Source organism: Homo sapiens, chromosome 20 (genome assembly GCF_000001405.40).
Source record: "Homo sapiens chromosome 20, GRCh38.p14 Primary Assembly".
NCBI lineage: Eukaryota > Metazoa > Chordata > Mammalia > Primates > Hominidae > Homo > Homo sapiens.
Genome location: NC_000020.11, coordinates 15,836,061 through 15,858,071, shown reverse-complemented (window position 1 = coordinate 15,858,071; position 22,011 = coordinate 15,836,061). Strand labels below are relative to the sequence as shown.

Here is a 22,011-nt window from a genome sequence, read left to right as displayed (position 1 = left end):
TTTAGAATTTATTTTTAATGTTTTAAATACATTAGAGATGGAGTCTTGCTATGTTGCCAGGATGGACTCAAATTTCTAGGGTCAAGCAAACCTCTTGAGTGGCTTGGACTATACAAAGACAGTGCATGAACCTCACATCCAGAGATTGTTTGTTTGTTTTTTCTGTGATATCACCTAGAGACACACACACAGAATTGAGTTTCTAGGCCTGTCACTAGTTCTGTGACATCGGACAAGCCATCATCTCTCCTCACCCTAGTTTTTACATCTTTCTCAAGAAAAGATGGAATTATCTCATCTCTATAGTTTTTTTCTTTCTTTCTTTCTATGCCTCTGTTACAGTCTATGTCAAAAGTTAGTTAAGCTGAAGTTGCATTTCTCTGAATGGTTCTGGGTTAGGGCTGGCCACAGAGAAATTTCCATGAGATTTGTAGGGCAGAAGTGCAGTCAGAGACTTTGTGCCAGGAAGGTGGGTGCAGGGCTTGGGCGATCATGCATGCTGTTGCTTATCACATGGGTGTGGAGTAGCAGCTGGCCCCACAGCTTCTCCAGTTCTTGATGGTTCTTCTGCCACATGTTCTTGGAGCTGGGCTGGGCCCACATGAAGTTCTGCAGCAAGAGCACTGGATCCTTCGGCAGGACATCACAGCTTTGGGGTTCCAATCAGTGAGAGACAGATATATGGGCCTGTGGATCTCTGTGGATTCCAGTTTTCCCTTGTGACTTTCATTTGTCTTTGTTCTCTCCCGCTTTGCATGCAGCTTTCCTACTTCCTCTTTTATCATCTGCCCTGCTGACATACTTCTGGCCCTGTCCAGATGGACAGGCAAGGGACTTCCATAGACATCTTCACCAGCTCCATTCCATGGGCCCCGGTTAGAAGCTTTTCTATTCAGTCAATCATCCCCTTGTGGAATGTTACTTTCCCAGTTTCTCCCACAATTGTATAAGATCTAATCCCTGCAATAAATCCATTAACCCATATCATTCAAGGATTCTGCTTATCTGACTTAACTCCAGCTGATGTAATCTTCAATATCATTTCAGTGAATATTATGTAGAGAAGAGCAATGAAGTACAAAGAATAACAATGTTCTTTGTTACAGGTGTGCAATCTGTCAAGGCTTCTCAAATTCCAATTACTTCTTTTTCGATGAACTTTTGTTGGTCCCGGCCCATCTTCTTGGTTAACTTCCTAAAGTTTCCATCCCCGCTTGTAATTAAAGCAACTTTGTATATTTAAAATAATTTGCTCTTTTATGAACAAGCTGTCAATAAACTCAGATGATTCCCTAGTCTAAAATGTAATAGAAAATAATACAAAAAACAACATTAATATTTTTAGAACTAACAATCTGACAGTTCACTTTATGTCTTAAACTGGAACCTCATGAAGAATCAGGTGGCACTCATCTTTGCATCACCAGTGCATAGCATAGGTCCTGACACATAATAGGAGCTCTGTAAATATCCACAGAGTATATGTTTAGACAAACAGATTTGACTAAAATGTAGGTATGTGGCAGATAGTTTTCAAGGGTACTTAGTTCTAGAACCAAAAACATAAGATATTTCGGAGGACTTTCCTTTAAGTTTGCCAGAAGAGCTGAGAACAGAAATACAGAGAAACCTAGATGGTTTTGCAAAGCACTCTATAAAAAAGAAAAACAAAAGCACTATATAAAGGGCATGAGGCATTATTGTCACCAACTGACATCTTATCCAATGATACTATGTTGAGTACAATGGCTCTTCAGCCCAGTTTTCATATAGAGTGCTTAATCGTTTCACAGTAGCAACAATGATGCCCTCTAAACTAGGATGTATTAAAAACTAACAGCTTTTTAAAATGAAAAGACAATATCAAGTATTGTCTTATACTTGATATAAGACAAAGATATAGACTGACAGGAACTTTCATAGACTGCTTTTGAGAATAAAAATTGGAAACCTCTTTGGAAAATTATTTGGCAGTACATAGTAAATTAGCTGAATATGTACATGTCTTATAACCTAGCAATTTCACTCCTACATAGATACCTAGTAGAACCTACAAATATATTCACCAAAAGACACACACTAGAATGTTCATAGCAGCACTATTTGCAATATCTCCAAATTGGAAGCTACTTAAATGTCCATAAATGATAGAATGGATAAATTACGATGTACTCATATAATGGAATATTAAAAACCAATGAGAACAAAAAATTTATAACCATACAAAATAATACGGGCAAATCTCACAAGCATAATGTTGTATAACAGAACCCAGAAAAAAAAGAGGACACACTGGATGATTTCATTTTTATAAAGTTCAAAAACCTTATAGAAAGAGGCAAAATCATCGATGGAGTTAGAAGTTAATGTAACAATTACCCTGGGGTGGAGGGTTGGTGCAAAGAGACCTAGGGAAATGCCTGGGATCCTGGTTTTTTGATCTGGATGCTGGCTCCCTGGATGTGTTCAGTTTGTGAAAATTCATCAAGCTGTGCACTCAGGAACTGTGTTCTTTTCTGTATGTTATACTTCAATAAGAATTTTTTTAAAGGTTAAAAGTCCTATGTTACAGCTCTCTTGGTCAACAATCAAAAATCTATTTTTGTTGACCTCAGGGTTGAAAAAAGTCCTTTACAAGCTGACCTCCTAAAGGTAATCTCTCTGTGTATTTTCACTGCAGCCAACTGTAGCTCACCCATCGAGGCATAAAGGAGTAAAGATGTATGTCTTTCACCAAGATATCTATTAATCCACAGTTGGGGGTTTCCTACCCCATAAATGTGATGACATATGTTCCATTAATCTTTTCCAGCATCATATCCACTGGCCCTGAAGAGGGTGACACAGCGAAGCAGGTTTGGAGTATCTGCAGCCAACCTCCATTTTTCAGAGCCACCAGTCATAGGGCAGCTGACACAGCCAAGATTATCCTGTGTTCAGTGATACGAGGAGAATGAATGGATTCTGATGAATGTAATTTGCTTCCCCAACAACCAACATTTAGAGATCTGGTGTGATGCAAATGCTGCTTTAACTGAGGACTGATGGAGGGCTATCCTGGGTAAATATAGCCTGATGGACAGCTGGGCTTAAGTCCCAGCCTTCATGAAAGAGAAATCAACAGTCTCACCAGTGCAGGGTTGGATGGGATGATTTCATAAAACAGTGGCTGCTGCTTAATAAGTGAATTAAATTTCAAAGCTTAAGTATCAAATTTGTACAAAGACAGGTTTTGAGAGGTTGGAGGACCAGGATAAGTGAAGTTTCCCCAGTACTCAGAGTAACTCAGGGATAAACAGAGCAGCAAAGGGAAGCAATCACTACAGATTAATTAAGAACAAGAAATTGGGGTGCCTGGGTCCTAGTCCCTCCTCTCCCACCAAGTGAGGCAAAAGAGAGCAATCTGCTCTTCTCCCAGCATGTCAGTTTTCTGCTGCCACATGACAAATCACCGCAGAATTAATGGCTTAAAACAACAACACTTTATTATCTCACAGTTTCACAGTTGGCTGAAAGTCCAGGCCCAACCTAGTTGGGTCCTCTGCTTTGAGTCTCAAAAGCTGCAATCAAAGTGTTAGTTGCACTAGAGTCCTCACCTCAGGCTTGGAATCCTCTTCCAAGCCCATTAGAGCTTTTGGCAGAATTTGATCCCTTGCAGTTGCAGGACTGAGGTCACCATTTTCCTGCTAGGTGTTGACCAGGGATGGCTTTTATCTTCTAGAGGCCACCTGCATTTCCTTGCCATATGGTCCCCAAAGCAGTTCAGGACACGAGCGCTCTTTTTCTTCCACGCCAGCAAGAGTGTGCCTCTATCACTTTCTCTACCTCCCACCTCTACGTTCCTTCTAAAAGCCCACCTAATTAGTCAAGTCCACCTGTTTGTAATTAGCCAGACTGATTCAATACCTTTATTCCCTCTGTGGAAATCTCTTTTCCTAATCAACAGAGTGACTACCCCATCATATTTGAAGGTTCTACGCACCCTGAAGGGGAGAAAACTGAACAAGATGTGCACACCTAGGGGCGATCATATTGGCATCTTGGAGGCTGTTTTGAACTTCAGCCTCCCACGCAGTTCCCTCCATGGAAGCAGCTGCCTGTGTCCCTACTTGACTTTACCATTTACCTGTGACCTTGAACAAGTTACTTAAGTTTTGTAAGCCTCAGTCTGCTCATCTCTAAAATGGAGACATTGACCTCTGGGGGTTAGTGCCTTAAAACACACCTACTAATTAGCTCACAGTTCTGTAAGTCTAAAGTCTGACATTGCATGACTGGGTTCTGTCTATTCAGGGTGTTACAGGCTAAAATCAAGGTGTCAGCTGAATTGAGCCCTTGTCTGGAGGCTCAGGAGAGAAATCCACTTCTAAACTCCTTTTCATTGGTGGTAGAATTCAGTTCCTTGCAGTTGCAGGATGGGGGTCTTCATTTCCTTGCTGGTTGACAGCTGGAGGACAGCTCAGCTCCTGGAGGCCTCCTGCATTCCTTGCCATATTTCTGCCTCCATCCTCAAGCCAGCAAAGGCATGTCAACTCCTTCTCAGTGTTGATTCTCTGACTTCCTCCACATCTGTTCCAAATTTAAAGAACTCATGTGATGAAGTTAGGCCCACCTAGATAATCTCCCTATTTTAAGATTTGAGACCTTAATTACGTCTTCAAAATCCCTTTACAGTATTATGGTTTGGAAAATTGGGAGGTCTGTGTACACCATGACTTAGGAATCTGAAAGATCATCTTAGAATCCTGCCTGCCACCGTTGATTATAATGACCACATAGAAATTCTACATAAAGTCCTCAGCAAAGGGCCTGACATAGAGTAAATGCTCCATAAACATCAGTTGCTTGTTTGCATAGTTATTATTCATAAGGTACCTAAAACACCTACCCTGGTGCTGGCATGGAAATAAAATCAGTGTTCACTTGCTGAGTCCTTTATTTCTACCCTGACCTTGTAAGCCAGGTTAAGACGAGGTATAGCCAGATGAGAATATCAGGGGCACCTTTTTTATCTGTTATAGTGAAAATCATGTTATTATTACTATTATTATTATTATTTTAGAGATAGAATCTCATGCTGTCCTTCCGGCTGGAGTGCAGTGGTGCAAACATAGCTCACTGCAGCCTAGAACTCCTGAAATCAAGGAGTCCTCCCTCCTCAACCTCTTGAGTAGCTGGGTCTACAGGTGTGTGCCACACCATGCCTGGCTAATTTTTTAAAAAATATTTGTACAGACAGAGTCTTGCTATGTTGCCCAGGCTGGTTATGAGAAATTCTATCTTAAAAGAAACATTCATGAAAATAGGCCATGGTATATATAAGCAGCTCTGTTTTTGTCTGGTCATATCAGCCAATGAGATAAACGGGAAACAGGTAAGCTGATAGTGGAGATGGTGTAACGGATAAAGATTTCACAAGACCCCATAGGAGTCCGTATTCTGAGATTTTAATATCTTTGTCAAATGTCACCGAATATCATTGTTCTTCTTCGTGAAAGTATTAGCCATGTTCGCACTTGTGCACAACACCACAGAACCTGCTACTTCAATCTCCAAATTACAGAATGGGAAAATTTTTCTCCCCATGTTCCCAGAGATGTTTGGGTGAATTGGAAAACATTTATAATCCACAAACTCTCAAAGTACATTTTTGCATTTTAAAATTGCTTCTATGGGCATAAAAAGGATCCTTTATTTTGGGGGGCTTTTTTGCAAAGCCAGTATATCTGTCATTACTCTGTGGCAGCAGAATTCAGAATCTTCCTGTTTTGTTTTGATAAATTGCTCTTCTTGACTTTTCTTCAACTCAATAAGAAAAATGGCCATGCATCTGAGGAGCCAAGAGTTATTTTGGCTTGAGCTGGAGGCTCATTCACACAAGTTAATTTCCGAGCCTGCCTCATATTGATCAAAATTTCACAAACGACACATCTGTCGTGGTCCTTGAAGCTGCTCCATATGTTTAGTGTGGAACAGACACGTGCACACACACACAGGCTTAGGGCCTGCCGTTCTATATTCTAGCACAGCAAGCATGACCTGTTCTGCCCTTGTATCCAAAGAGATGATCCTGGGAGAGACTGAGGGGAAATGCCAGTCAAAGATAAAAAATGGGCTTTCTTTTCACGATTAAAGAGGAAGCTGCCGTGTGCTCGTGGTGGCTGCCCCTCCCTTCAGGACAATGCACATCATCCTTCCCTTGCTGGAGGTGCTGGTGACTGACAGCTCCAAGGAGTGGCTCTCAGAGGACTGTGTTCTGCTGAAGCAGGCACCTCACCCACGCTGCTTCTCTCTTCCTGAAGTCAGCCTGCATCCAATGACTGACTCACGGAGTAGCCTCAAGGCCCAGACCCCCTTCCCTCAATTTGATGCAGCTCGGAAGGGCCATCTATTCTGGGCCAAAGTGTGTCTCCTCCATATTCAGTCATAAAAGTCCTAACCCCCAGTATCTCAGAATGTGACTATATTTGAAGACAGAGTTTTGAAAGAAGTAATGCAGTAAAATGAGGTCACGGGGATAGGCCCTAATCCCATATAACAAGTTTTCTCATCAGAAGAGGAGGTTTGGACACGGACATGCACAGAGGGAAGACCATGTAAAGACACAGGGGGAAGATGGCCATCTGCCAGCCAAGGAGAGAAACCTCAGAAGAAATGCCCCCTGCTGACACCTTCATATTTGCCTTCTAGCCTCCAGAGCTATGAGAAAATAAATTTCTGTTATTTAAGCCACCCAGTCTGTGGTACTTTATGATGGCAGCCTGAGTAGACTAAGACACTTTCCCCACTCCTGAGCCCCTGTTGGGATCAGCCGAAGCCTTTGCTGTGACCGGATCACAGTTCAACTTCTCCCAACCCTGCTTCTCACATGTTTCCTCTCCACCCAGGTATGATTCAGGAACATAATCCGATAAACTTCCTACTTGCAATTCCCCTCTCAGTCTACTTCCATGGACACTTGACCTAGGACAATAACGCTCTATTTTTGACAATCTGAATTCTTTTCTTCCCATGCCCATTTTTTCCATCATTTCCAACGTTCTGAGTGGCAGCAGCCAATCACACATGAAGCCGGCCACCTGAGCTCTGTCCAACAGTGACTGCTACCCGCTCCTTGCTTACTAGTAATTTCAGGAGTGACCATATTTAGCATTTGGCTGACCAGTGGTAAGAAGTCAGGACTTGTTTTGTAAAAGAGCACTTGAAGTCAATATACGCTATACATGTAACCCTAACAAAGTGACAGCAACAGATTTGTTGAGATTGGGGCCCCATCCGACACTGACCATTGGGAAACGTGTCTCTCAAAGTTCTCTGTGGACTCTGTTCAAAGGACAGGAAACTGGCTCCGAGGGCAACCGTGCAGTGACTGCCATCAGCTGTGAGGGTAAATCTCACATGGCCAAAGCCACCCAGAGCCAAGACACATCTCTGCAGATGTCTATCTTGCCTAATGCTAGGTAGATCCTTCTAGATAAGAGTTACAGATCTCCTTCTATGTGAGAAATGGATTACTTGATGGTTTGTTAGCAAATCCATAAAAGATAAGCGGGCCCACACAGTCTGGAGGTGTGGCAGCACTGAGGTGCCCTGTTCATGTTCCCGTGGGTCTAAGTAGTAAGTGTGAGCCAGACAATGGCCAAGCACCTGCACTTCTTTGCCTGAGGGCTTTCATAGTGCTGGCAGGCTCTGAGCAAATATCTAGTGAGCTGGAGTTTGGAAAATTAATGCCTGTCACCCTGGCAGCCTCAACCAAAGACTGACGGGAGTTGATGTTTAAATCCCCCTGTTCGATCACCCTTGGGGGAGAGATCCCAGAGTTCTCCAGAGGGATAAATGCCTGGTTTCCCAGGGTGATGCTCTTGGTGGCATGCTCTGTGTCAACTCTCCTCACCTCTGCATGATCCACAGATAATCTACCTGCACTCTAATTCTTGTCTTAGGGTCTGCTTTTGGGAGAATCCAAATCAAGAGGTGAGGAGAAAATTGGTCAGATATCCACTTCATCTCTCAACATTCAGCCTATCAAGTGTTAATTCAATGTAATTCATCTTCTCACTCCGATAAGGTACGGGCTGCTGCCTATACTTTGCCATCACTCCCATGGTGCCCTTGGTACCCTTACACGAAGAAGACAGTGCCAAGAATAGGTCTCTTGACTCAAACTTCTTCCTCGCCATCTAGTCTATGACATGAAATTACCCTTCCAACCATGGAGCCATTGTTTATCCAGCACACATGCAGCGCTCATGTCACCCCGCAATCCAGCTGCAGACCCCTATTGTCTATTTCATCCTCCTGCTTCTCAGAAAGCTCTGCTTCCTCTTTCTTTTATTTGATTAAGAATATCTGCAGAGGTGGTTCAGAGACAAAAGTTAATAATTACTTTCTTTGTTGAAGTAATTAAAAATTTCAAGGAAGAATTGTCATTCATTGCTGCTTATGAGGTTGCCCAGGGAGGATAGTGCTTTATAAAGCCAACACATCTTGACTTTCAAAAGATGCCATCAGTGGGAGAAACAAAAATCTCCACTCAAAATGAGAATGCTATGCCAAGTCACAAGGTGGCTCCGCAGCCTGGTCACGATGCTCGAAGGAACGGGGCCCACTGCATAACCGTGCAATCGTCCTGTGCCTTATCGTTTTCTCGACATTTCCATTAGCATCTGACGTGCATGCAGATGCCATTTACAGTTCAAAGGAAGCTCATTAACATATCTTCCAAAAGAGCATTTTTGTGAGGACAAAAGCTGTTTTTCTCAAGCTGATGTCCCTCCCACTCCTGCAAGAAAGAATCTTTTCGTTCAAAAGGCAAACCTCAACAGAACAATCTCCCTTGAGTAATTTTCCATAGGTTCATGTCCTCTACAATGTGAAAGCACAAACCAAAAGCATTCTGGTGGCAACAGTGCTGTGTGTGTGAGTGTGTGTGTGCATGTGTGAACATAAAAGAAAGGAAGGAAAATGGTGAGTTACATCTGTGCCTCTCCTATTAGCCACCCTAGCCTCTACCTCCCCCAACACGCATGAGCTGTTCCAAACCTTTGATTGTCGCTTTATATCTTTATGAACTTGTAGCTATTTCATATCATCTCTCTCTTTAAATGCCAGATAGAGGAACATGCCCCTCAGCTAGACGGTAGATCCCTGGAGGAGACACCCCTTTTTAGTCATCTTTCCAGCTTGTAATCAGTGTAGCCAACTGGAGGATATGAGAAAAGGTCTGTCATATCTCTCCACTGTATCAGTGGGCTCTGAGTGACCTAATTATGACTACTAACTGACTTAGGGACCCCAAAAGGAAAGACCACTTGAGGAAAAAGGTAGAAACATGGGCCCCCTGGCTTTCTCTCTGCGGAAGAAATAGCTTTTCCTCTCCTCCCTCTTACCCTCTGTAGGTTGTCCATCCTCCACAACATTGTCTGCTTCATATTTTGAAAATTGAACTCACAACTTCCAGTGGTCTTATCAATTAATTAAGTGCTTTTCAAATGTTTATATGCAAATATTCCTGAGGGCTATTAAGTCTCCCTCGGGAACTTGGGATGATGCCCAAAATGCCCCCTACAAAATTTTATTTAAATTTGGGTTTTGTCACATGGTCTTTTAGTAATGTAGTATCTATAATATTCATGCTTGGCTGTATATAAAGACAATGCTTTTCTTCCTAATCGTTACTAATCCTTGAGGAAGATGACCCCCCCCTCCCCCTGGCTTGTACAGTGACTTTGGCCTCTCTTCGGCACACTGCACCAGATCCTGCACGGGGGCTGGGAATCCATTACAGGTGGAAAATCATGACTTAGTGGCATGGAGCCAGAATGCATGGTGTATTGGTACATTTGCATGGGAGAGAGAGAGAAAGAGAGAGAGAGAGTGATTGATACAGATGTTTCAACATATTTTAACTTCCAAAAGAATTTCTCCTTCAGCTATTATAGTCTTAAGGTAAAATTCAGTGTTATAAGCTTTATGTTTTAAAACAACATTTATTATGAATATCAAAATCTTCTCAAGGGAATGGAAAGGGAAAGAAAACAATTAATAGCTATTGAACACTTCTCTGCTATACTCTGAGGTATGTTGGTTCCTATGTGTAAGGTAAAGCCACCCTGAACACTAACTGAGAAAAAACAATTATGATACTAATTTTGTAGTAAGACAGTCTTTTTTTCCCTTTTAAGCAAAATGAACAATTAAAACAATGACAAAAGAATAACTAACCAAATAAAAACAAAAACATAAAAAGAAAGAAGAGAAGACTACGGCATAGAAATGTCAACTAAATGTCAACCTTTCTCACTGGGGGTATATGGAAAAAAAGAACAATAACAGTCAGGTATCCACTAAGATTATTTTAGTAGAGGGTAATAGAATGATGGCTTTCTGAAAACAGCCAACAGATGTCCCACCCATTATACTAATCTTGTTATATAACGTCTGCTGCTGTAATCCCTTAAAAGTTTATTTTCTAAACTCGATTCTGCTCCAGCATCTGTGACGCTAAATGCTGCAGTGGCTGTTTCTCGGTTTTCACTGATGTTTCCAATGCCAGTTACAGGTCAAAATTTAAGGCCAGTCAAAATAAAGCCTTGGTTTGCATTTCAGCAGGAAAACGATGCTTTATTTGCGTTTGTGCTGTATCCAATAATGTTTTATCCAACCATCTTTCAGCAGGAGAGGAAGAGTCCAAATTACAAAGATATGCAAATGGAATTGGCATATTGGCACAATTTAGAGTCACCACTCAATTGCTTAGAGAGATACATTCCTAAAATAATGCTGCCGAAAGTCCACTCTAAACCATCTACCTTAAGTATGAATTTGTTCCATGGGCTTAGCCGAATGATTTATTCATTAAAAACAAACCAATCCTCTACGTTATACTTTTGGAAATGTTGAGGAGAAGAAAGCTAAAATTTAATTCTGTGAACAGCTGTAAAAAATATTTGGAAAGATCCACTGATGATGTATTCATTGAAAAACTTTAAGAAGGATTCTATTTTTTCTATGTAATTTAATTTCTGAGTTGTGAAACAGATACATTCTGGACAACAAATTATTTAAAATGTACCTAGTTCCTAAGTTACATCTTTGGGAACCTGGATGTGAAGAAGCCATATATATATATATATATATATATATATATATATATATATAATTTTTTTTTTGACTATGTCAAGGTCCACTTTAGAAAAAGCCCTTGTTTTTAAGGAGTTATTTTGTTGTTTTTTCTTGATGCCGAGGGTCTCGCTGCTGCCATGTTGGGTCACCATATGTTCTAGTCATGTGGCAGCCTGTATGTTTTCTATCTCAGTTAGCAGCTCTGACATTTCGCCATGTTTTCTCTCTAGCCAGTGGGTGTGAGTTGGTTAACAGGACGGCTCTAGACTGCATGAGCCATGGCTTACGTAAGGCTTGTTATGGCATATTCTTGATACTGCTTAGTCGTGGAAAAACCGTTTTTTCCTTTTGGTGTCCAACCAGGAAATTCCTTTGTTCTGCCAAAAATGGACTAAAGCCATATCATCATTGCCACCCACAGTGAAAATGCAGTAGAAAGAAAGGTCAGGATAACTAGATGAGAGAAAATCGCTGCTGTCTCAAGTCAATAAAAGTGTGTGCTGCCTTCACTTTGTAGACTATGTTGGAGGGGTGGGGCAAACTAACACAGGAATCAATTGAAAAGAACTAATTAAAGCAACTAATGAAAGTCTGTGACATCCCAAGCAGTCTAGTGTGGGACAAAACCAGTGAGGGAACCTATGAGATTATTTCACAATGTTTACCATGAAGTATCCTCGAAGGCTGAATATTCTAAATGGGGACCCTTCCACACTCCAGTTCATGGAGGATAGCCTGAGAAGTTCTGGTCAATTGCAAAGTTTCCTTCAACATACATCTTTTATTTTAAAACTGCATTCCATATTTTACAATTCTACCCAATTATTTATATGTTTATGCCTATGTTAGGATAAAAAGTGTTTCTTACCCTAAATGTTTATATAAAATTGAAGCTCCTAGAAGAAATAACATTTTTACTCTCTGACTTCAAGTCTATCCAGTCCACGTGGAAAACCTGTTTTAGACAGGCCACATGGCTTAAAAAGAGGTGTTCTGTTTTGTGGGAGAGGAGGTTCGGATCAAGAGAATAGGCTTAAATTTCATTGGTCACAGTTTTGTGTGTGGGATTGGCCACTTCCAGTGAATCACTTAACTTCTCTAAACTCTGTTTTCATTAGTTAAATAGGGCTAATAATAGACCAATACTGTAGGGTAGGGTTGTCCAGAATATTCAAAGAAATGATGTGTGTGAAGTAATTATCACATAGCAACTGTTGAAAATATGGTAGCTATCACTCTTATCAAGGCTTAATTTGGTCTGCATGCAAAACTATTATTGGACATGTTTAGATTGCTGTGCTTACTGAAATTGAAGGCCAAGATAAAATTTTGTGAATTCTTAGTACACTTATCTAGTTTGCTCCCATTCATGGTGGTCTCTTTCTTTTGTACTTCGACAGGGGGTTACTGCCACAAGTAAGATTATTCCTTGCTATGCTGCTTTCCACGACTCATTTCCTTGATCAAGGTGAACCCAGTAGAGAAAGGCACTACGTCTTCTACATCTTCATCCTGCCCAAAGCCATAGTTTTCAAACTGTAATGAGCAAAAAACTTCTAGTGTGCTTAGTAAACATCCTAGTTACTGACCGTCTTCATAGATATTATGAGTTGTGCGTTTGAAGTGGTGCTGAGAATCAGAATTTTTAGGGAGTATTCCTCAGTCCTGGACATTTTTATGGAGGTGATCAGAGATTCTTCAGGTGATCTTCTTATAAGAACAGCAGTCATTGGAATTAGGATCTACCTTAATCCAGCGTGACCTCAACTTTACTAATTATATCTGCAAAGGTTCTATTCCAAACAGGGTCACATTCTGAGATTTCAGTAGACATGAATTTAGGGGGAACACACTCTTCAACTCAGTATACCTCCAAAACCTTGACTTTAACAGCAGTTGTTTCACTAGCTGACTAGAGTATGATGTGAAAGACTGCCATGAAGTGTGATGCCACTTATGAATCTTCTAGGTAATTGTCAATTACAGTTTAATGTTATTTTCATAAAATAACCTTCTTGCAACATATTTTTATGCTTTCTATAAAAAGGCTATTCTTCATCATGATATTTCTGATAAAAAAAAATATGCAGCTGGCATGCATCCTGGTCTTTAATGAGGCATTTTTGTACTGCCTTGTAGTTTTCCTTATCCTTTTATGTGCCATTGTGTATCAAATATAGAGCCGACACTCAATAAATATTAAGTTGAATGTATACATTCATTCTGCAAACAATGGTGGGGGTTGAGAAGGACACAGGATGTGTACGACAGAAATTGTCTTGTTTTCCAGGAGACTTTCCTGGACAGAAAAGATAAGACCCTTCATAAATAGTACAACACTAGGTGTACGGTGAAGTCTGGGAGCTTACTTACAAATCCCACTGTCACCACTTACTAGTTGCATAATCTTGGGCAAGTTGCTTAACCTCACTAAAGCTCAGTTTTCATGTCCGTAAAAATGGGGCTTACATGTTCAATTACCTCACTAGGCTATCTGGGGGAGTAAATGAATTAATGTCTGCATTGTGTTGAGCACACAGCAAATGCTCACTAAATGATAGCAGTTACCGGGACCCAGGGGAAGAAAGGATGTTTGATAGGTTGATGATGACATTTTATGTGTTCGTCATTTCCCACCTGGATTATAAGCTTCCTGACTGCAGGGAGTTCATAATTATATTACCATAGCATCTCTCATAACTCTTGGCAGACCTGCTCCTCCTAGGGAATTTGTATAATGTCACCAAATGCAGTCCTAGTCAGTTGATTCATTGAGTGATTCTGTCAGTCCCTTTATTGGCAACAGCAGCAAAACATTTACATGTTCTAGGTTTCTGCTCCTATTCACAGTTTTCTCTTTAAGAAATGTACATTTTTGCTACTCATATATGTGCAGGCATGCTAGATGTTTGGCAAGAGAGAATACTACAGTGAGGTGGGTTGTAAGGGGTAGGATTGAGATTATCCATATAAGGCAATAGTAGGGATGAGTGATTGTGAAAGAGGATGCTTCATATTCCTGACTTTAAAACCATGAAAAAACAACCATTACTGATGTCCAACTTACAAAGGTTACAGCATGATTTGTCATAAAAATTCAGGAGTGTCAGGGAGCAATGCAAATTGCAGATGTTAATTACACGTTTCTCATTTTCCTGGAGTGGTTGGACTTTCCTCTCAGTTGCAGCTTTCTGATCATGCACATAATGCTCTGTTACTTTTGCTTTGATGTAATTATTATGATATTGATTTTTTAAATGGGCCCATGGTAGAAATTCTACACATATGCCAAAAAAAATTCTACCATGACTTTTACATTTGCACTTCAGAAATTATCCTAAATACTCTGCTGGATCCTTGAAGTTAATCGATTTGCAGCTAGTTAGTTTGGTCCACAAGACCAAAATACCTCCTGCATAAATTCACTTAAGTATCAGTTATTGTGAACAGGCCTATTTATTTAGCAGAAGTCACTTTATTATGCTGTTTCAAAAGCAAAAGCACTGGAGGGAAAATATCACATAGAATTAACATAACTGTCAACACACGAACATGAACTGGTATAAACCATCCACATGAAAAATGTCACTCTGCTCACAGTGCACATTTACAAAAAGCGGTAGTCACACTTTACCTAAATAACAAAGTAGAGTCAACTTCCAGGAATGAGCTCCTGCCTTCTTTGAACTTGTTCTAACCCAGTCAGTTAATAAGAATAGGGAAATGGTGATGATAAATGCATATAATAACAAGGCCACTTGGCATCAGCATGCAACTCTGTTTCATTGTCAAAGTGTTTTTCATGTTGATTACCTCATTTAAGTCACTATTACACTCATAGTGTCCAGAGTGGAGGTGAGTGTGGTACAGCAAGGTTAAGTGGTGAGCTCAGTGCCACCAAGTGGTGAGGAAAAGGGTCGTGACTGAAATCTAGTCTACTGTTTCCTGTCTCTTTTCTAGGTGCCTACTCTACTAAATAATTCTGCATAAAAATTTAGTTTATCACTAGTCAAATTATTTTGGGCAGTGGATCTTGATATAAAAAGTTAATCACCTAGCTTATCAACTAAAGCCAGATGTTGACTTCTTGAGAGACGACACAACCCCCCAGGGCAAAGGAGGTAAAGTGTTACGTGCCTTATAGCTGTGGTATATGCACTGTGTCCAAACCACTTACAATTCAGATTTGTCTGTCTATTTCTCTATCTATCTATCTATCTATCTATCTATCTATCCATCCACCCACCCCCCATCCAACCATCTATCCGTACATCCATCTTTCTAATCCAAGCATCAAAAATGAGTAACAGTAGAATTTAAAACAAATTATTTGTGATGTTCAAATAGCAATGCAACCAACATGATGCTTTTTGTGGTTTCTGATATTCCCATTAATGTGATAAGCAAGGGAACTGGAGAAGAAGCAAATTAACATTAGCCAATTTCTTTGGTGTCTTACAGAGGCAAAAAAAAAAAAAAGATGAAAAAAAGGATGAAAGGTCTCGGGATTTTTGGCTCATTGGTTCTGGGTCCTGACTGCAAATACATCATAGAGCCACTAAGAACCTCTGTTTTCTCATCTTTGAAATAAATGGGCGTAATATGAAGTTTCTGTGGCCTATTATTCTCACATTCTGGATGCTGTCCCTTTCCCAACAGCTCCATCAGTGTATATCCTAGGGACCCCAAAGACGTGGCATGCACCTGTAGGTCCAGCTCCACCGGCATTGGGAAGTCACAAAGCCTACCCTGACAGTAGGTGGTCCTTAATACTAAGAAATAGGGTCAAGAAAGAGTTAAATGTTGCCTTGTGTCACTCTCTTGCTGGATTGTGCTGCTATGGCCCCAGGAATAGAGTCTTGCATCAGACTCCTCACCTCATGGACTCTTCTCTTGGGACCATAGTGTCTAGTGTCTTTTCAACCTCCTCTTCCAACCAAGCCCAACACACCTACCCAATTCCTGTTCATCTCTTCCCTGGTCTTTGCTTCCTATTTTCTACCCCTTGAATTCAGTCCAAGTCCCATTACTATATAAGAGGAAATGGGGTAGAACTGAACCCTCTTGTTTAATTTTTTGCATCTCTATTTTCCAGGGGTGGATATCTAGCTGAACCCATCACAAACTACCTCTCCCTTAATAAACTGTCACCAGAATCTTCTAGTCAAGCACCACAGCCTAGACCTCCCACCATCATTCTAAGTCTCCTCCCTTGACATGGTTTGGCTCTGTGTCCCTACCTACATCTTACATTGCATTGTAATCTCCAGTGTTGGAGGTAGGGCCTGGTGGGAGGTGAGTGAATCATGGGGGTGGATTTCTCATGAATGTCTTAGCACCATCCCGTAAATACTGTTCTCACAATGTGAGTTCTTACGAGCTCTGGTTATTTAAAAGTGTGCAGCAACTCCCCCTCACTTGCTCTCTTGCTTCCACCATGTAAGACGTGCCTACTTCCCCTTTGGCTTCTGACATGACTGTAAGCTTCCTAAGGCCTCCCCAGAACCCAGGCAGATTCCAGCATGATGCTTCCTGCACAGCTTACAGAATTTTGAGCCAAGTAAACCTCTTTTCTTTTAAATTACCCAGTCTCAGGTATTTCTTTATGGCGATGTGAGAATGGACTAATACACCCCCCCATCCTGGACCACCCCAACATCATGATTAGATGCTGATGCCTGAAAATGTAATAAAATACGCTTGTATTTCCTTGGCCACGGCCCTTGATCATTCTCTGCCTTAACATCCCTTCTGTTTTCCCTTTGCTTAGCTCATTCTGTTTCTCACAACTTAGTGTGGGCCACCCATGATCAAGGCCAGCATGTGAAACACAGAGAAAGACATTCCATCTCACCAGGATATCCAGATGTGAGATGAGGATAAAATGAAATTGCAAGGATGGAATGCTTTGAGAGTCTTAAAAGTGAAATACAACTTTGAGGTTTTGCTATGTGGTAAAACCATTTTTTAAAAGATTAAAATTTCAACAGCCTTCAGAAGGTTTTCTTGTTGAAAAACATATTTATTTTTCTTCATAAGGACAAAAACAATCCCTCTCAGACTTAGTGCGCGGGGATTCTTACTATAATTTAACTAATGTGGGTAACATTTGGCATGCTCTGGAGTCTTTCACAGCTTGCCTTGGAAGAGTTTATGGATGAATTTTTTTATAGCTTCCATTTTTTTCCAGTAGAGTTAGTCAATGTGTTTATATTTTACTTGATACTAGTTTAAGAAATTTATACAGTCAGTAGCCATTTCTTCAGTCATGGAATTCTTTTATTTCACAGTCAATAAAATTTTAAGATGTCACAATGCCTTTGGGCTTATAATAATATTTTGTCCTTTACATCCAGGTTCAACTCTGTGGAAGTAGATATAGGTGAGCATGGCATAATTTATGACATTTTTTGAAGCCATAGTTTATTAGCAAATATAAGTCGAGATCTAAAAGATCTTTTTTTGTGAATTGATAACAATTTTTGAGTTAAAGGAGGATGCTTTTTGGTTTTTGCCACTCCTTAAGAGGGCAGGGGAAGCTGAGAAAAATTTGGAGTCAACCAACCACACATGTTGTCCCCGGCAAGTTGCAAAGCTGAAGAATTATGGCACTAATTTCTGACCAGCTCACCATAACATGGGAAGTGAAGATGTGGTGGGAAATAAAATATTCCTCTTTGTTTTCTGCCAACAGGTAAAGTAGTTCTTATTGTCCTCGCTGGATAGATGCTGTAACTGCTGCTTGTCAAATCCTCATGGGCTGGTCAGACATTCTGTGGTGGCTTGAGCCACTGTCATGGCCACAGTGCCAGACTTTCTCTAGCAGTTTGACTTCACAGTGGTCCCACAGAAAATTTTAGGAGTGAATATAGAAGAATGATAAAATAATCATAGGTAATATTCATTTATCAGTTTCTATTTTTCAGGCATTAGTCTAATAAATTTAATTATAAATTAACTTATTAATATGTGCTACAATTCTAGGAGCCAGTAGATAATTCTTGTTTCTATTTCATAGATGAGGGAACTGAGGCAGAAAAAGTTTAAGTAAGTTGCCTGAAGTTACACAGATAACAGGTGGTCACATTTTCAGCTATTGCAACATAATAAATAATCACAAAATTACAATGTAATATAATAATACAGAATGATTCTCACAATGATGATATATAGACATATGAACTACACACATTCATATATATGTTTGTGTTGTTATTATCCAAAGCAGCCCCTCAAATATCTGGGATTTTCATTATACTTCTTATAGATGATATGTGGTCAGCTGAGGTTCACCAAATCTAGACTGAGAATGGATGGGAGCTTCTGATTTAGGCTATGACAGTTGGGGCAGCTGGGCTTTGTACCATAGGTGGGCTGGGGCAATTCTGTTTCACATGTTTCTTATCCCCTCTGGACTAATGAGTTATCAAGTCAATAGTCTCATGGCAGTGCCAAGAGCAGAAAGTGAAAATGCACAAGGTCTTACGAGGCCCAGCCTTGGAACTAACTTAGCCTCACTTCCGTCACCTTTCAGTAAGCCGACAGAAGTCACAGAGCCAAGGAAAAAGTCAAGGAATCGGGATGTACTCTTTTCTCACAATGAGACCATGGCAAGGATATAGGCATACAGAGCCACTGAGAACGGGGGCCAATGGTTCGGTTCATCATGTGATGAAAGAGACGAACTTGGGCAATCTTGTCCATAGTCCTTGCTCACAAGTGTAATGCTATATTTCCTCTCAAGGGATGCTTCTGTTTCTTCTCTTCATGAAGAGATATATTGTAAGGAGCCTTTTTTGAGAAATGATGGATAAAAAATTAGGCTTTCACTAACATTTGAGATTTAAGCTGAAATAGGAATTCTACATGTAGAATGAGGCAAATATTACCAATAAACATAACAGGAAATAATTTGGGCAAAAGACAGTGCATATGTCTATATCTATAGTCATATCCATATATAAGCACACAGTTTACATATGCATACACATGTATGAGTTGAGTACCCAAAGCCGTCCTCCAAACTGTCTGGGCTTTCCATTGTACCTCTTATACTAACTGACTTCTGGGAAATCATTCTTATTTTTATAAATGCTTTTATCAAATGAAACCAGACTACAAGCTTACAGTTGCATTAGTCCATTTTATTGATGTATTTATTTAAAAGGTTCAGTCTGTCTTATATCAGAACAACTTTGAATGCAAAAAATGATGCTTATCACTTTTATTTTCCTATGCTGCTTTTGTGCGTGTGGGATCCAAAAACTCATCAAAATCTAGCTGTGCTCTACCGGATTTTATCTCACAGTCATTGTGATGTAGCAACACTGGTCAATCTCTTCTCAACAGAGCACAATTGCCATAGAAATAGCTAAGGGGATGAAATACAATTGCTGAAGAATAATGAAGTGAAATGAACCCCCAAAGCTATCTTTCCAATATAAATCACAAAGTTAAGTTGCAGTGATCTGAAAACAGAATTTAAGGATGTGTGCAATCCAGAAAAAGCTAATTGATGCTTAATTTTTGCATCACATCTGGTAAGGATGTAATTAAGGGCTCCACAAGATGGAAACATTAAACATTTTGCATAGAAAGATAAGAAATGAGAATATCACTATTAGGATAAAAGCAACTTCCTTCTCTTCCCTGGTAATGTGAAATAATTTCTCCTACACTGAAGAGCATTGGGAGCTTCTGAGTTTATTGTTTACTTTGTTCCTTATTAGAGAGGAAATCCAAGTGTTACTAAATTAAAAGGAAAGAATGGAATGTACCACAGCCCCATAGTAAAAAAAAAGCTTGATATTCTAGGTCAAAAGCTGCCCAATCTTGACAAGAAAATTAACCTGAGTAGATCTCTGGAGTATTGAATATAATACGGTATATGAGTTTTTCTCAAAATTTTTAGTCCCATAGATTTATGACACTGGGGTAAGGTGATAGTTCCTACTTAGTGCTACAAAAACTCAAGTGCCAACAATCTGAAAAGTTCGCTGGCTGATGATTTTAGGATATCTGATTATTTTCAATTGATGATGGGCTAAGCAGTTGATGATGGGCTAAGAGTATCACAAAAGTTGCATGAGATTCAAATTACAAAAAGACTAAACAGGAGGTTAGGACCAACAACCACAGGATAAGCATCAGCTTCTTTCGTACATCATCAGAGATAGACCACAGCTTTTGTAACCAAGAGGAACCTAAGGTGTCTGTGGTCAGAAGCAGCTCAGAGGCCAATATATATGTTAATAAAATTGTTTTGTTAATAATATGGGGCAAATCAAGTTTCCAGAAACTCTTGAGTTTCTGGAGGTAGAAATGAAAGGCTGCACTTTGGTGACCTGAGGAGGAAAATGTGTAGAATGCGGCAAGTTGGAAAAAAACAGATTGATGGGGCTAGTGATCAAAAAAACAGACAAGCACCTGAACATGATACAGTGTCTGCTACTGAGGACACAGTAGAGCCCTCGAGGGGTTCTTGTGAGGACAAGAGAGGCTCATGTTGGAGGTAGATACGAGTCTGTAGTGTTGCAGACAGTTAGCTAAGGAGAAAGTTGAGAGACCAGTTCATTCCCACACGGAGAAAAGGGGTCCCATTCAATAAGATTTTCTGTGTCTCACTCCACAGAATTTCTCTCTCTTTTAAAAGATCCGATTACCCAAGCAAGTTCCACAGAGCAAATCTTAGTGCATATTATACTTTTGAAAAGGCATTTATGGTTAAACAATATTAAGAAACACTGCATGTTTAACTTTGTTTAAAGGTTAAAAAGGGGGCTTCCTTTAATATCTTTTTTTTCGTCTACTATCCTTCATGGTACAGCCCTGTCCATCAAAACCTATTTTCTTGGCAACCTAGAGAGAAGCCTGCAGACCAAGTACATATGTGTGCTGGTGCACACAGCTCATATTTTTGCAAAGAAAAAAATGTTATCCTTATTGAACTCCAGCTAAGTCCCTTTAATGCTCTGATTCAAGAAGACATCCAAAGGCCCATTCCTTGTGGTTTCCATTTAGCAAGGCAAACCTTATAGGCACAATCTTTGTAATACACAACTGGACTTTCTACAAAGAAATAGCTGTGGTCTACTTGCTAAGCTTCTGCCCAATTAGACCCATATTGCTTCCTTGAAAACTCTTGAGGTTTACCACAATTTGGTATTGCTATTCTTACTGCGCAGCTCATGGAGGTTGATGCCAGATCATGTTAAAGTGGTAAGTCCACCAGCCACTCACACATCAGAGCTATTACGGATAGTCAATCCCTTTCAATACATCATTTATGCTTTGAAAGCAATTTGTAAAATGAATAAAAGCAGCTCTGTGAATTATAATAAAATTACAGAAATTATTTTAAAATTGAGCTGCGTATTCAGGTAAATGAATGCTTTTTCTTGTCAACCACATGAAACTAAACCAACATCAGTAGATATATTTTGTTATATATCTGGAGAGAATTGTATTTCTCTCTAAAAAGATTATGCCTTCATTGTGAATAAAGGAAAAAACATCCCATAGATAATGACTCTTATGACTCCATTCTGTGTAACTGACCACCAATTGGTTGTAATGAGATTGCTTCTGCAGAAGATAAAGGTTTTAAGGAAGGAGTGTGTGTGTCAGTCATAAGGGGTTTGTTGCCACAAATACTTTCCAACTTTCATTCCATGGCCAATCTGATTCACATCTGCATCAAATCCATTTACCCTCTCCTAAGTAGAAAATGGAAACAGTTCTGTAATCTCCAGAGTACTATCAAAAGGTAAAACGTCACTATTATTAGATACTCAGCCTGAGTTTGAGAAAGGCAAAAGACTGAGTTGTAACCTTACTTCTTCCACAGGAAATATAAGAGTCACCCTCATTGCACAATTTCAGGACCTG

At 40.0% G+C, this 22,011-nt stretch overlaps 1 protein-coding gene across 5 annotated transcripts in view, besides 1 other annotated feature; it reads right to left on the bottom strand.

The window, feature by feature from the left end:
- Nucleotides 1-22,011, bottom strand: part of MACROD2 (mono-ADP ribosylhydrolase 2) — a 2,057,682-nt gene that overhangs the window by 195,126 nt on the left and 1,840,545 nt on the right. The gene's annotated exons all lie outside the window — the stretch shown is intronic.
- Nucleotides 8,489-8,658: an enhancer, noted in NCBI's record as "experimental_59806 CRE fragment used in MPRA reporter constructs". NCBI's record gives its function as "activates a minimal promoter by MPRAs in K562 erythroleukemia cells, with activity observed for the non-introgressed 20:15830144 variant allele {active_cell/tissue: K562}" and the evidence as "EXISTENCE:reporter gene assay evidence [ECO:0000049][PMID:34662402]".